Raw genomic sequence first — 16,791 nt, forward strand, 5'->3', positions numbered from 1 at the left:
TGATAATTGAATGAGAAAGGCTTGGGGGACAGAGAGAAATCTCAGATGATGTACAGGTTTCCAGGTTGTACACTAGTATTTAACCTAGACGTGAGGAAGGAGTAGGAAATTTTCTGGTGAATACAGAAGAGCAAAGAACAGCAGGTCAGCAGGAATGACTAATGTTTTTCTATGCATGTTTAATGGAATATTCGTGTAGGATATTTTGAGTAGGTAATTGGATAATCAGCATTTGTAACTTGCATCCTAGTAGTCTGACTCTCACTAATAAGACTTGTCAAAGTTCCAAGAATCTGAAAGTGGATGATAAATGTCCATGTGTATCACCATCCATGACCGAAAGTCAGCATCCACAGAACACAGAATTGGGACAGATGAACTTAATAGATAAAGATGAATATCGGAGTTGTTCCTCTTAGGGAATGATACTCTCCATGAGCTGTGTGAGTCACAGCTGCCAGAAAAGAAAGAGCAAGGAGCGTATGAAGGCAGCACAGCAAATTCAGTCCTAGAGTGCCCTGCTTGGCTTCGTGTCATAGTTCTGACTTCTAATAAATCATTTTCTGCAAAATATGCTCTGTGTTTTTCCCTCTTGCTGCCTGCAGCCAAACAGAATCCCTTTAGCAGGGCATTTTTGTGTTCTTCCTTTAAACAAGGCAACATATAAATAATGAAAACAAGAGAAAGAGTGGTTTTTGTATGGGATAGTATTTAACGTAAACTTGAGAGTGAGTACCAGGATTATACTTAGAATTTATGGACTGGATGGGAAGACTGGATAGAAATCTAAAGATTGCTGACTCAAACACAATGTAATTTCTTTGCTTTATTGTCACAGCTCTGAATTCACGACTCTTAGTTGTATTCATATGCACTATAACTTTACAAAGCATCTTCCCAAACCAAATCTTTACTGATTTATTATAATTTGTATGACTTTATTATAGAATTGACTTTCCAAGTGTTCATGAGAATTATTGAGAATTCGCTACATAGTATCATTTCAGTTGTGTCCACATGAATTATCAGTCACCTTGTCTTAATGAATAATGGTTCACTACAAATATTGGTTTTGGCATTTAAAGTGATCTATATCTAAATGCAGATAGGACCAGGGACCACTCTTGAACATTAATGTCCAAGCATCTTAAAATTACACATGAGGCTTTCATAATCTGACTTCTGCCCCACTCTCCATCTTTAGCCCTTTTCCCTGTGTGCCCTTTCTCTGGCATTACTGAGCTGCTGGTAGTGCCCTACTCACTCATCCTTCTATTGTAGGCAAATACTTTCATTCTTTCAGGCCTCGCTCCCGCTCTTGCTGCTGCCGGGCATGCTGTCACCCTTTCCTGCCCTCTACCCCTTTTAATCTGGCCAGCCTCAATATTTAAGTCTCTGCTTGGGCATGTGTTCTAGAAAAGCCATCCCTGAGATGCTTTATTTTCATTCTTTTTAGACCCTAATGCCTAGCATGTATGTAGCAGGACTCAATACAAATTTTCTGAGTAAAACAAAGACTGTTTTTACAAAGATGATGTGCAAGACTCTCCCCTGCAGTTTTGGAGCAGAGGGGACAGACATATGGAGAAATAATGTACAGCTTAGGGGGTAAAGATGCCGTAGAAAAATCAGTAAAATACTAAGGCAGCCTCAAGGAAGGAGATACCTGTTTATTTGGGGAAAGACATGCAGAATCAAGGAAGACTTCACATAGAATTGTTTCAAAAGATGAAAATAAGTCTGGGTGTGGTGGCTCATGCCTGTAATCCCAGCACTTTGGAGGCTGAGGTGGGCGGATAATGAGGTCAGGAGATTGAGACCATCCTGTCCAATGGTGAAACCCCATCTCTACTAAAAATACAAAAATTAGCTGGGTGTGGTGGTGCTTGCCTGTAATCACAGCTACTCAGGAGACTGAGGCAGGAGAATCACTTGAACCAGGGAGTCAGAGGTTGCAGTGAGCTGATCGCACCACTTCATTCCAGCCTGGTGACAGAGCAAGACCCTGGCTCATTAAAAAAAAAAAAAAAAATTAAAATAAATTTGTCAGAATTATGGAGGGAAACATTTTAGATATTAGGAAAATGTTGTACAGTAATAAAGGTGTCAGCAGTGATTTTGGAAATCATTTATAAGGTACTATTAGGAAGTGGAGAACAATATACTGTGTCACTTTATTGTTTCTACTGTATTTTAAAGCTGTGTTTATGGTGGTTTTGTTCATTTATGTTGGGTGGATGAATTTATGAGGGAATTTTTAACATGTGTGTATGTCTTCAATCTGGTGACATCTGATGTCTCCCCAAGTGGTTTTTTGAAGTTTTTGAGAATTATTTCATAAATGACAATTTCATGAAAGATTAAACACTCAATTTATGAAATAAAATGAAATGTCTTAAATCTGTTTTTAAAAGGCAATAGTTTTTAACTGTTGTAAGTGGTTGATTTTAACTGAATATATGGATTTTTCAACAGAACAAGACTTAAAGCTGACATCAGAGGAAGAGTCACAAAGGCTTAAAGGAAGTGAAAATAGCCAGCCAGAGGCATGGAAACTCTTAAATTTAAACTTTTGGTTTAACGTTTTTTATTTTTTTTTTTTTTGCTTTAATAATATTAGATAGTCCAAATGAAATTACTTTTGAGACTAGGCTTTGAGAATCAATAGATTCTTTTTTTAAGAATCTTTTGGCTGGGGGGGTGGCTCATGCCTGTAATCTCAGCACTTTGAGAGGCTGAGGTGGGCGGATCATGAGGTCAGGAGATCGAGACCATCCTGGCTAAGATGATGAAACCCCGTCTCTACTAAAAATACAAAAACTTAGCCGGGTGTGGTGGTGGGCACCTGTAGTCTCAGCTACTCAGGAGGCTGAGGCAGGAGAATGCCATGAACCTGGGGGGTGGAGCTTGCAGTGAGCCGAGATCTGCCACTACGCTCCAGCCTGGGTGACAAAGCAAGACTCTGTGTCAAAAAAAAAAAAAAAAAAAAAAAAAAAAATATTTTAATAGATTCTTAAAATTTATTGTAATAAATTCAGCAACCTTATTAAAAGAATCAATAGATTCTAATTTAATATTTGATATTTAACTTCAACATAACCCACTATGAAATTTAAAATACTCTTATTTTAAAATATTCTTATCTGCCTTCTTGATTAGCTTATAGCTAATCTTTCCTTTTGGAATAGAGGCAAAAACAAATTTCAGAACTTTGTTCTTTTATTTTTACAACATCCTAACATGATGAAGAATGTAACATCAATTATTGGATTATATTATTAAGCAATAGAATTATGAACAATGTAACACTGATGGTCCCTGAGCTGGATTCATGGTTAAAGAGTAATCATGGCCAGTGATTGAAAATCTGCAGTTTTATATTGTCAGTCACTGATACTAAGGTTAAAGATATATTCTGCCTTGTGGTCTCTCATTGACCTCAGTGTTTCTGTTTAGGGAGGGAACCAGGTCAAAAAAGCAACCCAACTGCCTATTAAAGGAATCATATCTTGCAGAATGGGACCTTTGGTGTTAGTGCACAAACACAATAACATTCTAATTTATTTCAGTTGCAGAAAATCAGGACAGATTAAAATTTTTATCTACTGTCATTAGTACATATTAGAATATATTAGAACTGGACTTAAGCAGATAATCTAGATACATAACACTATCATATTACAGTATATAATTTCAATTAAAATGTAAGAATTTGCATCTCTTTCTGTTTGGTGTTGATTTCGGCTCCTAATAATTTAAAGTGTGCCTACAATCCAGTTAGGAATCTTTTGAAAAAGCACTTCAGTGCACTGTAGGGGCTCACTAGTTAGGGTTTCATGAGGTAAACTCTTTTCAAGTGAGGAAGGTTTTGCAACACTACAAATGATCTGCTGATTCATTTTTGGTAGATTTAACACATAACAAATTAAGTTTAGTCTGAACAAATAGTGACCAAGTTAAGTTTGCTGGTTCATGTTTTTCTTCTCCCTTTGGCTAAGGTGAATTATTTTTCACATGTTAGAAGCCAGTGATGTGGCGGTAGCTAAACATAGATTAAAAAGTTAATCTTAATTTTAATTATTATTTATTTTTTAAGTTTAATTTTAATTATTTTCTAATTTTTATTGTCCATACTTGATTACTTAAGAATAAAATTATTTTAAAAACATGTGCTCCAAAAGAGGAGACATCACAGAAATACAACAAGCAAATTAACCTTCTGTTTTTGCATCTGCAGGAAATGTCTCAAGAACCAGAAATAAATAAGGGTGGTGATAGAAAGGTATACTTTTATATTCAAATGTTTGCGTTGAATTAGATTTTTACATTATGTTGTTTAACAAAGTGTAGTAAGTGTAGGCATACGTGATCCTATCATGTAAGTAGCATAAATCATCAGTGAAAAATTTAATACTTAACTCAGAATTCTATACATTGAATTTTAAAGAGATGCAAACCCTAGAGATATTCTTTCATTATTATGGAATAGTCCCAAATGGTGCCGTAAAATGCTAAGTAATGCCACTTTAGGAGCTTTGGATCAATAATTTTATCTTTCTTGGTTTTAGTCTGATTATCAATAGAAAATGTGGCTAAAGTAGATAATTTTTTATTCTGTGTATTTTCCAGCTAGAAAATTTTATGGCTATCGAATGTGAAATTTGGGGAGCAACTCATTTTCTGGAATTCCATGATTGTACCTCAGCAGTTTCACTCTGCTCCTTATGTTGTGGGAAACTTTGGTTCCCATGTTTCAGTGAGCACCTTCGTGTTTTTGATATCCTAGGAACCTAATGAAAAAAGAATGCTCAAAGGCAGTGGGGGAGAAGAATATCTTAGTGCAGAAAAGGGCCATCTTCCATTCTATTCCTGAAGCCCCATGGTGTCTCATCCTCTAAAATGACTGTTTAATGTAAAATCTAGGTGGTAAAGAGGGATGAAGACACATTTTGCATCTTTGTCTTTTTATTTATGTGTTCCCACCAGTCAAATGGGGGTAAATACATATATAAGATTCTGAAGAGTGATTGAGAATAAAAGCACAAAATAAAGGAGGGCCCTTTTTGAATTTTGGAAAATTCTGTTTTACTCATTGAAACAGAAATGAAGCAAACTTTACAAAAATTTCTGTGATATATTAGTGATATGATAAGTACATCTTAAAATTATATGGTAATAGTTCTGTGTATATGATCCAATTTAAGAGTGAAATGTTTTTAATGACTAAAATAATGATAAACTGGTCAAGTGATAAAATCAATTAAAAATATTCTTTCTATTCAGTAAAGGGATAACTATCCTTAATATCAAACTTTCATTCAAGGTTGAAGAAGAAATGAAGAAGCACGGAAGTACTCATATGGGATTCCCAGAAAACCTGACTAACGGTGCCACTGCTGACAATGGTGATGATGGATTAATTCCACCAAGGAAAAGCAGAACACCTGAAAGCCAGCAATTTCCTGACACTGAGAATGAACAGTATCACAGGTAAGTCTGTGGCAACATTGAACAGGAGATAACTCTATGCTGTGAATCTAATTCATGATGAACAAATTTTATACTTTTACTAGGATATTCAGCCTTGCCTGTTAATCAGAAAAATGAAAATCAGTAAACAATGAGTTACCATTTTTTCCAGTCATTAATTTATTTGAAAAATAGCCAGTATTGGCAAATGTGAGGGAAAAGGCATTTTCTTTTCTTTTCAGTGACCTTTTATTTTAGCTTCAGGGTACATGTGCAGGTTTATTATATAGGTAAACTGTATCATGGAGGTTTGGGTACAGATTATTTCATCAGCCACATAATAAGCAAAATACTCGAATGGTAGTTTTTTGGTCGTCTCCCTCCTGCCACTCTCCACCCTCAAGTAGGCCCCAGTGTCTGTTATTCTCCTCTTTGTGTCCATGAGTTCTCATGTTTAGTTCCCACTAATGAGTAAGAATATGTGGCATTTGATTTTCTGTTCCTGCATTAGTTTGCTTAGGATAATGGCCTCCAGCTCCATCTGTGTTGCTGCAAGGGAAATGGTTTCACTGAAAAAGACATTTCATACACTGTTGGTAAATACATTTTGAACATTAATTTAGTAGCATATTCACACACACACAGATATATAACGGAGTAAGGATGTATAATACATGTAAAGGATATTTGTGTAGATATGTTACATACATACTTACATATAAGGACATTTATTATAGCATTATTATACTAAAAATTTGGAGCTAGTCTACTCCCTTATCAATAGGAAATAGCTCAATGTCCATACCCCCAAAATAATGTATTATGCAACCGTTTTTGAAAAATGAGGTTAGATCTAGGGTATACTGATTATTTCACAATTAAAATGTATTTAAAGCATTTAGTTTAATGACACATCTTAGGAGTTCTTGTTAAAATTCTTGTAATATCTGCTGTGTTGGAAATGGAAGCTACATGCTACATTGACACTGTACCTTGTTAGCAACAAGATTGCTAATTATTAAATTTTTGTTGTCAGTGCCTGAGTGCTGAAATATTGGACCCTCAGTCTGAATATTGCCAAGGGATTGTACATGGGGATCTATATTTAATATAAACATTTCAGTGTATTGGGTAAAACTTTTATTAAAATACATCAAAGATCTTTGATCTACTAAACCAAGAGTTGGCCAGCTTTTTCTGCAAAGAACCAATTAGTAAATATTTTAGGCTTTGTGGACTACATATATTTATTTTCTTGAGACAGGGTCTGGCTCTGTTTCCCAGGCTGGAGTGCAGTTGTGTGATCATGGTTGTGTGATCACTGCAGCCTCGACTTTCTGGGCTCTAGTGATCCTCCCACCTCAGCCTCTCTACTAGCTGGGACCACAGGTGTGCAACATCACACCCAGCTAATTGTCACTATGGACTGTAAAGTGAATAAGCATGGCTGTGTTCCAGGATACTTGACTTACAAAAACAGTCAGTGGGCTGGATTTGGCCCACAGGTGCTTATTTGCTGACCTTTGTGCTAAAAGGAAGGTGCTGCTAATGCATTGACTCTTATATGTAAAAGTGTCCTGCATGGGTGACATTATCTTTCCTTTGAGAAAAGGATATATTTGAGTATTCACCTCACCATATTTTTCCACAGTGACTTCATATAATTTTAAAAACTTCATTTATAAAATAAGATTATTTTCTGCATTTCTCTCTCTTTATTCCTGTTAATAGAACTCAGTATTTTACTGTGATCAATTACTTTGTATATTTGATGAGTGTCAACTGTCCTAGAATTGGCTGATTTTTATCAAGCAAGAAATATTCTCGTTGAGACCTTTAGTATTTCTTGGTCTTTATGTATAAGCATGAATGAACAAAATGATAATCAGCTTATGTGATCTAGAAATGTTCTAGGGGCCTTTAAAACCTTGGTCTGGCATTTAATGCCACATGTGTATAATTTTTATAACCTTTGAAATATATAATTGTTACATAGCATTTGAAACCTCCACCTGTTATGTAAAATTTGGAAACTATTTCTTGTCTATCACTTTTCCATGACTGTGGATGAAAATTACATCATTCTCAGTCGTGAGTGTTAAGTATGTTGTCCTTTAAGTAACTGTCTACACTCACGAACTCAAATTTTCTTTCCATTCACTCTTGATCTCAATGCCAGTAAGTCTTCAATTTCAGCACTCCTCCAGAGTTGTTTTTCTCAAGGTTATCACTACTTTTTTCTGTAAATAAATCTATGCATTTTTTCTTACACCTCATTTTATTTAATCTGTCAGCAATATTTGAGCCAATGGAGGGCATCTTCTCCCTAACGGCGTCTTCACTTGGCTTTCAGGACCTCACTCCCTCAGGCTTTTACTCCTGCCTTTCTAGTCCATTCATCACGGTCTGTTTTGCTTGCTCCTCCTCATCTTTCTCCTTTTGGACATTGCTGTTTCTCATGGCTCAGTCCTCAATCTTCTTTCTCATGACATTTTTTTTTTTTTAAGATGAAGTCTGGCTTTGTCCCCTAGGCTGGTGTTCATTGGCACGATCTTGGCTCATTGCAACCTCTGCCTCCTGGCTTCCAGCGCTTCTCCTGCCTCAGCCTCCTGAGTAGCTGGGATTACAGGTGTGTGACACCATACCTGGCTAATTTTTGTATTTTTAGTAGTGACAGGGTTTCCCCATGTTGGCCAGGCTGGTCTCAAACTCCTGATGTCAGGTGATCTGCCCGCCTTGGCCTCACGAAGTGTTGGGATTACAGGCATGAGCCACAGTGCCTGGCCCTTCATGACTTTTTCTACTGTATATATGCTAGTGATTTCCAAATGCATGTCTCCAACTCAGATCTCACTCCTTAATTCCAGATCTCTGTATCAGCCTGGCTACTTGACAGGCCTAGCCTATCAGACGTAGCTACCTAATAAATAGTTATTTGATTAGCTGTTGAGTATCACACACTTGTCAGATCCAAAATTGGGCTACTGATGGCCTTCCTGAAATCTACACCTCATGTAGTCTTTCCTACTTTGGTTAATGGCAACTCTTCCAGTTGCTCTGCCAAAAACCTCGGTGTCATTCTAGACTCATCTTTCTCTCTCTCTTGACACTTCACATCTAATCTCTCAGTAAATCTCGTCAGGTCTACCTGAAGAATATGTCCAGAAGCCAGTCATATCTTGCACATGTGAGCCACCATCATCTGCCATCTAGATGAGTGTCATAGACTGGGAATTGATAGTCCTGGTTTTTAAAAACTTCCCCTTTCATCAATTCTTAACTCAGTGGATGTATTTAAAACATAAGTCAAATTGTGTCATTCCCCTGCCCCAGCCCTTCTGATTGCCTCCCATTTCACGCTAAGTATGTGTCAGAGTTCCTCCTAATAACTAAAAGGCAGTCAACCATCTGGCATGTTATCTCTCCTGCTTAAACTTCTGTTTCTTATCTCTTTTGCTCTGTTTCAGCCACACTGAACTTCTTGCTATTCCTTACCTATCTCTAGTGCTTAAAAACTCCAGTCACACCTCTGCACTTAGCAGTTCCCCATGTCTGGAATGCTTTTTCCCCAGATATTCTTCTAGCTTACTGTTTCCATTACTTCAGTTTTTTACTTAAAATCCCCTTTCTAAGAAGAAGAAAAAGGGTAAAAAGAAACACATTAAGGAATAACCACTTTCGGAGGAAGAACCATGTACCAGCACAATTCCTAGTCCAGAGAAAAATGAAGAAAAAGAAAAAGAGATAACGAGGACTAACAGAAAGGAATTACGATTGTATCACCAGGACGCATCAGGCTTAAGATTCAATTGGGAGCATACCAGGGATTCTCTCTAACGTAATTGAGGGAAGGTTCAATGAAACAGTGATTTATCATCTCTAACTTCAAACCTATTTGTGTCTTGACATCAACTCTGTTAACATCATCATTTTTTAGAGTCTTTGATGTACAAATAAAAGTTTCTTTGTGTTAAAGAAAAATCCTCTTTCTCATCAGGGACTTTTCTGGCCATCCCAACTTTCCCACGACCCTTCCCATCAAACAGGTAAACATTTCATTTTCCTGCTTTAGTTTTTCTCCTCTAATGTACTGTATATTTTGCCTTATCTGTCTGTTGTTATTGTGTGTTTATCTCACTCTCATGAATAGGGTTTTTATTGTTCATTACCATATCCTTACTTCTTAGAAAAAGGCCTAGCCTATCAGACGTAGCTACCTAATAAATAAGTATTAAATGAATGAATGGAGTTTATCCTGGCTATATTGTTTGATTGATTCTCACTTAAAAAGTGTTTGACAGAGTTCATTTTAACAATTTTGCCTGGTAATTATATGTATTTTTAAAATTCTTTTGGCTTTTTATAATCTACATTCTTTATGTTAATATTTTTTCACTTAGGGAGAAAAGTCCAATATTGTGGTTATTCACTATTCTTTTACTGGTAATCATGATAATTGCAATTATGGTAAAATGAGTCAGAGGAATTGCAAACTTTACTGGTATTTTATTTATTTAGAGATAGAGTCTCGCTCTGTCACCCAGGCTGCAGTGCAGTGGCGTGACCTCGGCTCACTGCAACCTCCGCCTCCTGGGTTCAAGTGATTCTCCTGCCTCAGCCACCTGAGGAGATGGGATTACAGGCGCGTGCCATGAGGCCCGGCTAATTTTCGTATTTTTAGTAGAGACGGGGTTTCACCCTGTTGGTCAGGCTGGTCTCGAACTCCTGACCTCAGGCAATCCACCCGCCTTATCCTCACAAAGTGCTGGGTGGATTACAGGCGTAAGCCACCATGTCCGGCCACTAGTATTTTATTTAAAAAAATATTAGGGTGGTAAATGTAATGGACTCACAAATTGTTTCCAAGGGATTATAGACCTTTGGTATTTGAAATAAAAAGACAGTTGGAATCTTTTGCTTCGGATAGTAAGACTATACTGGTCAGGCACTGTCTATTCTGATGAAGCAGCTGTTGCTGCTTGGCTGTCTTTCAGAAGCAAGCTGCTCACATTGATATTGGTTGGTGAGCAAAGCCAGTGGTCATTGATCGATTGACTAGATTTTGAACTGGCTCTGGGTGGCTTCTTGTTACCATGGCTACAGGTCAATTCTTTCCTAAGTTTGAGTCAACTTTAAACAGAAATTTTCTGTTCAAAAGTTGCCTTCCATTAACTATGTTCAAAATGAAACTTTTTAATATTTCAGAATTGTGGATTTAAAGTTTTGGTTATGATGACTTGGTTAATAATAGCTCTCACGGAGATTTTTTTTTGATACATCGTCTTAACCAGAAGAGTTCTCTGTATAATTTATTTCTTAAAAATAATTGTTTTGTGTTTGTTTTGGGTATTTTTAGAAGCTTTTGCTCAAGTCCTAACATAATCTCCAGTAGGAGATTTTAGTCTGTCAGTTCATGTATGTGTATGATAGTCATATTGTCATATTGTCTTTTTAAATTCCTTTTTATGTTCACTTTTTTCTCTGTACAATAATAGTGATGTTGTTATACATTTTTATCTCATTAAAAAGTAGTTACAGTATTCTGCTGGCAAATCTAGCTTTTTATATATTTTGACTGAATAGGTTAAAAGTGAAAAAAATTTATCAGATCATTCTATTTTCAAACAAAATCATCACTAATAAAAATTATTATTTTGAATTATAAATAATGACATTTAGATATTTTAAAAATAAGGATACCCCCCCACAATAGTTTGGCTTTGTGTTTCTATGCAAATCTCATGTCAAATTGTAATTCCCAGGTGTTGAGGAAAGACCAGCTGGGAGGTGATTGGCTCATGGGGTCGGTTTCCTCCGTGCTGTTCTTGTGATAGTGAGTGAGTTCTCACAAGAGCTGACGGTTTCATAAGGGGCTCTTTCCCCTTCCATTCTCTCTCTCCTGCCGCCTTATGAAGAAGGTTCCTGGTTCCCCTTCACGTTCTACCATGGTTGTTAAGTTTCCTGAGGCCTCCCCAGCCATGCATAACTGTGAATCAATTAATCCTCTTTCCTTTATGAATTATCCAGTCTCAGGTATGTATGTGTATGAATTACCCAGTCTCGGGTATGTACATACGTATATGTGTGAGTGTATATACACACATACGTATATGTGATATATATATATGTGATGTGAGATATATATATTTTTATATATCTCCATTTTCTTTATTCCATTCATCAGTTCATGGACACTGGCTGATTCCATATCTTTGCATATTGTGAATTGTGCTGCAGTAAACATATGTGTGCGGGTGTCTTTGTGAGAGTACGATTTCTTTTGTTTTGTGTAGCTATCCAGAAATGAGAATGCTGGATAAAATGGTAGGATCTATTTTTAGTTCTTTGAGAACTCTCCATACTGTTGTCCATAGATTTGTATGAATTTGCATTCCCACCAGCAGTGTATCACTGTTCTCCTTTCACCACATCCACACCAACATCTGTTTTTTTTTGTTTTCTAATAGTGGCCATTCTGGCTGCAGCGAGGTGATATCTCACTGTCATTTTATTGTGCATTTTCCTGATGATTCGAGATATTTCGCATGTTTTTATATGCTTGTTTACCGTTTGTACATCTTCTTTTGAGAAATGGCTATTCATGTAATTTGGCCACATTCTAATGGAAATATTTGTGTTTTTTCCTGTTGATTTGTTTGAGTTTCTTGTAGGTTATAGATACTAGTCCTTTGTTAGATTCATAATTTTCAAATTTTCTTCCCATTGTATAGGTTGTTGGTTTACTCTGATGATTATTTCTTTTGCTGTGCTGAAGGTTTTTAGTTTAATTAGGTCTTATTTATTTTCATTTTTGTTGCATTGGCTTTAAGGTCTTCATCATAAATTCTTTGCCTAGGCCAATGTTTTCAGGTCTTAGGTTTGGGCCTTTCATCCATCTTGAATTAATTTTTGTATATGTTGAGAGATAGAGATCCAGTTTCATTCCTCCACATGTGGCTCTCTTTTTTTCCCAGCACTATTTACTGAATAACCTGTACTTTCTCCAGTGTATGTTTTTGTATGCTTGCTCAGAGATCACTTGGTTGTAGCGGCTTTATTTCTGAGTTGTCTGTTCTGTTCCGTTGATCTATGTATCTGTTTTTATACCAGTACCACGCTGTTTCTGTTACTGTGGCCTTAGAGTATAATTTGAAGTCAGGTAACGTGATGCCAACATATTTGTTCCTTTTGCTTGGTATGTCTGTTGCTATTCAGGCTCTTTTGTGGTCCTACATGAATGTCAGCATTTTAAAATAATTCTGTGAAGAATGACATTGGTACTTTGGTAGGAATTGTATCGACTATGTAGACTGCTTTGGGCACTGTGGTCATTTTCACTATATCAGTTCTTTCAGTCCATGAACATAGGATGTATTTTCATTTGTTTGTGTCATCTGTTATTTTCTTTGGTGGTGTTTTCCAGTTATCTTTATATAGATCACTCACCTTTTTCATTGAGCATATTCCTAGGTATTTCACACTTTTTTGCAGCCACTGTAAAAGGGATTGGATTGTTGATATGAACTCTCAGCTTGGTCGTAGTTGGTGTGTAGTGGTGCTACTGATTGGTATTCATTCATTTTGTAACCTCTGAGACTTTACTGAATTCATTTATCAAATCTAGGAGTGTTTTGTAGGAATCTTCAGGGTTTTCTAGGTATAAGGTAATATCATTGGTGAAGAGATAGTTTGACTTCCTCTTTTCCAATTTGGATGCCCTTTATTTCTCTTGCCCAATTGCTTTGCCTAGGACTTCCCAGTTTTATTCTTAATATGCATGAAATAAAAGTAAAATGGAAAATGCTTAATGATGAGTTTATTTCACATCTCTCTCTCATACACAGATAAAATTAATTCAAAGTCCTATGTTAAAAACATAATATTAGACCCTGTCTTGTTCTAAAAGGAATTTCTAAGTTGTTTATAAAATACATAGGAATCAAGAATATAAGTGGAAAATGTTTCCAAAAAATAAACACAAAAAGTATGAGTTATAGGCCATAGACCAGTACCAGTCCCTGGCCTGTTAGGACCTGGGCCACACAGCAGGAAGTTAGAGGCAGGTGAGCAAGCAAAGCTTCATCTGTTTGCAGCCACTCTCTGTCGCTCGCATTACCACCCGAGCTGCTCCTCCTGTCAGATCAGCGGTGGCATTAGATCGTCCTAAGAGTGTGACCTGAACCCTGTTGTAAGTTGCTCATGCAGGGGATATAGGTTGTTCACTCCTTATGTGAATCAAATGCCTTTATGATCTGTCACCATCTCCCATCACCCCCAGATGGGACCATCTAGTCGCAGGAAAGCAAGCTCAGGGCTCCCACTGATTCTACATTTTGGTGAGTTATATAATTATTTCATTATATATTAATAATAATAGAAATAAAGTGCACAATGAATGTAATGTACTTGAATCATCCTGGAACCATCCCAAACCTCAGGTTCCTGGAAAAATTATCTTCCGCAAAACCAGTCCCTGGTGCCAGCATGGTTGGGGATACTCGGTTAACAGATGTGAGACCCCTTTGCCTTGTATTGGAATAATGTGCAGATATACATTGTGTGAATGACATCTGATGGCGCCATCTTGCCCTGTAGATCATTTTGGGGACACCTCCAGTATTTCATGAAAATTAATTTTTTTTCTAGTGATGAACAAAATGATACTCAGAAGCAACTTTCTGAAGAACAGAACACTGGAATATTACAAGATGAGATTCTGATTCATGAAGAAAAGCAGATAGAAGTGGCTGAAAATGAATTCTGAGGTATTTAGTTATTTTCAAATGTTTTTATATGTGTATATATTTTTTAAAAACTATGTATTTTGGATATACAAAGGATTTTTAAGTCATATATATGTGTGTATATATTCTATATATCCTTTGTCATGTATCTATATCTGTACATATAGGAGAAAGCCATGTTCTTAATTCAACTCCATTTGCCTGCAACAGTCGAGTAGTGACCTTCACAATGGCCTCAATCCAAAGGAGAAGCATTTGATATTTTTCATAAGAATTGATGATCTTTCCATATCAAAACTAAGTTTTGCTACTAAAAACAAATTTTCTAGTTTTTGGACATTAGTTTTGTTAAAAAATGTTAATAGAGAAGTCAATTGATGGTTTTCACTGATAGGAAAGTAGGAAATGTATAGTTGGGTCAGAGGCCACATTGTGGATGTCATCATCCTTACTTTTGTGGAGAGGAACACTTTGCTCCAAGTAATTTCTCATTTCAATGTAAAGAGGTTTGAAAACAATGACATGCCATGATATACATTTAGTGATAATTTATTGATATGTATTTTGTTCCTAGAGAAATAGTTGAGTATATTTCCCCTATTTCACAGTTACTACTGTTTCAAACATTATAAAGAGGAAATAAAAGTTATCACAATGACAAATAATCTCATGATTTCTAAGAAAATCTCTATAAGTTGCATCTTACTTACCATTCATATTTTGAAACAAAAGGCTTCTTTTGTATTTATATATTTACACCACAGAAGTAACTGTGGTTTTGTGGAGGATCACTAGAAGTAGCATCAGCAGACCTGGGGAAAATCCTGCATCTTGTATATATTTTTTGACTTCTCCTTTTAAGAATCACGATCTTAAATGAGTTCAGTGTTGTATGTAGGAGTGCAATGCTTAGATACAGATGTGTACAGTGTAGAAGGGTACAGTGCTTAGATTTAAGTTATGAATAAATATAATTCTTATAACTGAGTATAAAAATATTAGAAATGTAGAATATCGGTAAAACGTTCTTCAGTAAAAGAAACTTAAAGAACTTTGAGAAATTGCTTCTGTCCAAATATATGCATAGCTAAGGCTCTTAGGATGGTGTGGTTGATAGGTTAGATATCAGAGTATAAACCTAATCTTAAAAATATAGTCAAATGTATTAATCTTATATTTTATGCCTCTGGGTTTTTTGTAACTCAGAGAAAGGCTTTTTTAATTCTGAGATTCTTAAAAATCCTCTAGTGATTTATTTTTCATAGTCTTTAAATAAATATTTAAACTTTTAGGAATTCAGGAGCAGATTCCTAAAAGTTTAAATCTTTATTTAAAGACTATGAAAAATAAATCACTAGAGGAATTTACACTCTGCTAGGTTTGGAGTTTTGTCCAGTTTTTTCCAGTTAAATATCCACTATGGGGATTCTTTCATTATACAAATACAGATGTTATTTTTTAATTTCAGAAGAAATCATGATATATCAATCTATTGAGTGCTAACTAAAAGTTCCCTTTGTTTACTTAGCTTTCTCTTAGTTATAAGAAAGAAAAAGACCTCTTGCATGAAAATAGTACGTTGCAGGAAGAAATTGTCATGCTAAGACTGGAACTAGACATAATGAAACATCAGAGCCAGCTAAGAGAAAAGAAATATTTGGAGGAAATTGAAAGTGTGGAAAAAAAGAATGATAATCTTTTAAAGGGTCTACAACTGAATGAGCTCACCATGGATGATGATACTGCCGTGCTCGTCATTGACAACGGCTCTGGCATGTGCAAGGCCGGCTTTGCAGGTGACGATGCCCCCCGGGCTGTCTTCCCTTCCATCGTGGGGTGCCCCAGGCACCAGAACATGATGGGGGGCATGCGTCAGATGGAGTCCTATGTGGGCAATGAGGCCCAGAGCAAGAGAGGCATCCTGACCCTGAAGTACCCCATGGAGCACGGCATCATCACCAACTGGGACGACATGGAGAAGATCTGGCACCACACCTTCTACAATGAGCTGCGTGTGGCTCCCGAGGAGCACCCCATCCTGCTGACCGAGGCACCCCTGAACCCCAAGGCCAACCGTGAGAAGATGACCCAGATCATGTTTGAGACCTTCAACACCCCAGCCATGTACGTGGCCATCCAAGCCGTGCTGTCCTTGTACACCTCTGGCCGTACTACTGGCATTGTGATGGACTCTGGTGACGGGGTCACCCACACTGTGCCCATCTATGAGGGGAATGCCCTCCCCCATGCCACCCTGCGCCTAGACCTGGATGGCCGGGAACTGACTGACTACCTCATGAAGATCCTCACCGAGCGTGGCTATAGGTTCACCACCATGGCCGAGCAGGAAATCGTGCGTGACATCACAGAGAAGCTGTGCTATGTTGCCCTGGACTTCGAGCAGGAGATGGCCACAGCGGCCTCCAGCTCCTCCCTAGAGAACAGCTATGAGCTGCCCAACGGCCAGGTCATCACCATTAGCAACGAGCGGTTCCGCTGCCCCGAGGTGCTCTTCCAGCCTTGCTTCCTGGGCATGGAATCCTGTGGCATCCACGAAACTACCTTCAACTCTATCATG

The 16,791-nt window shown here is 37.1% G+C and overlaps 1 protein-coding gene across 1 annotated transcript in view; it reads left to right on the forward strand.

Annotated features, from left to right (window-relative positions):
- Window positions 1-16,087, forward strand: part of POTEH (POTE ankyrin domain family member H) — a 31,606-nt gene extending 15,519 nt beyond the window's left edge. Inside the window, exons 7-11 of the mRNA NM_001136213.1 lie at window positions 2,476-2,546; window positions 4,238-4,282; window positions 5,324-5,490; window positions 14,116-14,234; window positions 15,742-16,087. Coding sequence (NP_001129685.1) covers window positions 2,476-2,546; window positions 4,238-4,282; window positions 5,324-5,490; window positions 14,116-14,233 — 401 coding nt within the window. The 3' untranslated portion in view covers window position 14,234; window positions 15,742-16,087. The remainder of the gene's footprint in view (window positions 1-2,475; window positions 2,547-4,237; window positions 4,283-5,323; window positions 5,491-14,115; window positions 14,235-15,741) is intronic.
- Window positions 16,088-16,791: the final 704 nt, after the last annotated feature.

Source organism: Homo sapiens, chromosome 22, assembly GCF_000001405.40.
Source record: "Homo sapiens chromosome 22, GRCh38.p14 Primary Assembly".
Taxonomy (NCBI): domain Eukaryota; kingdom Metazoa; phylum Chordata; class Mammalia; order Primates; family Hominidae; genus Homo; species Homo sapiens.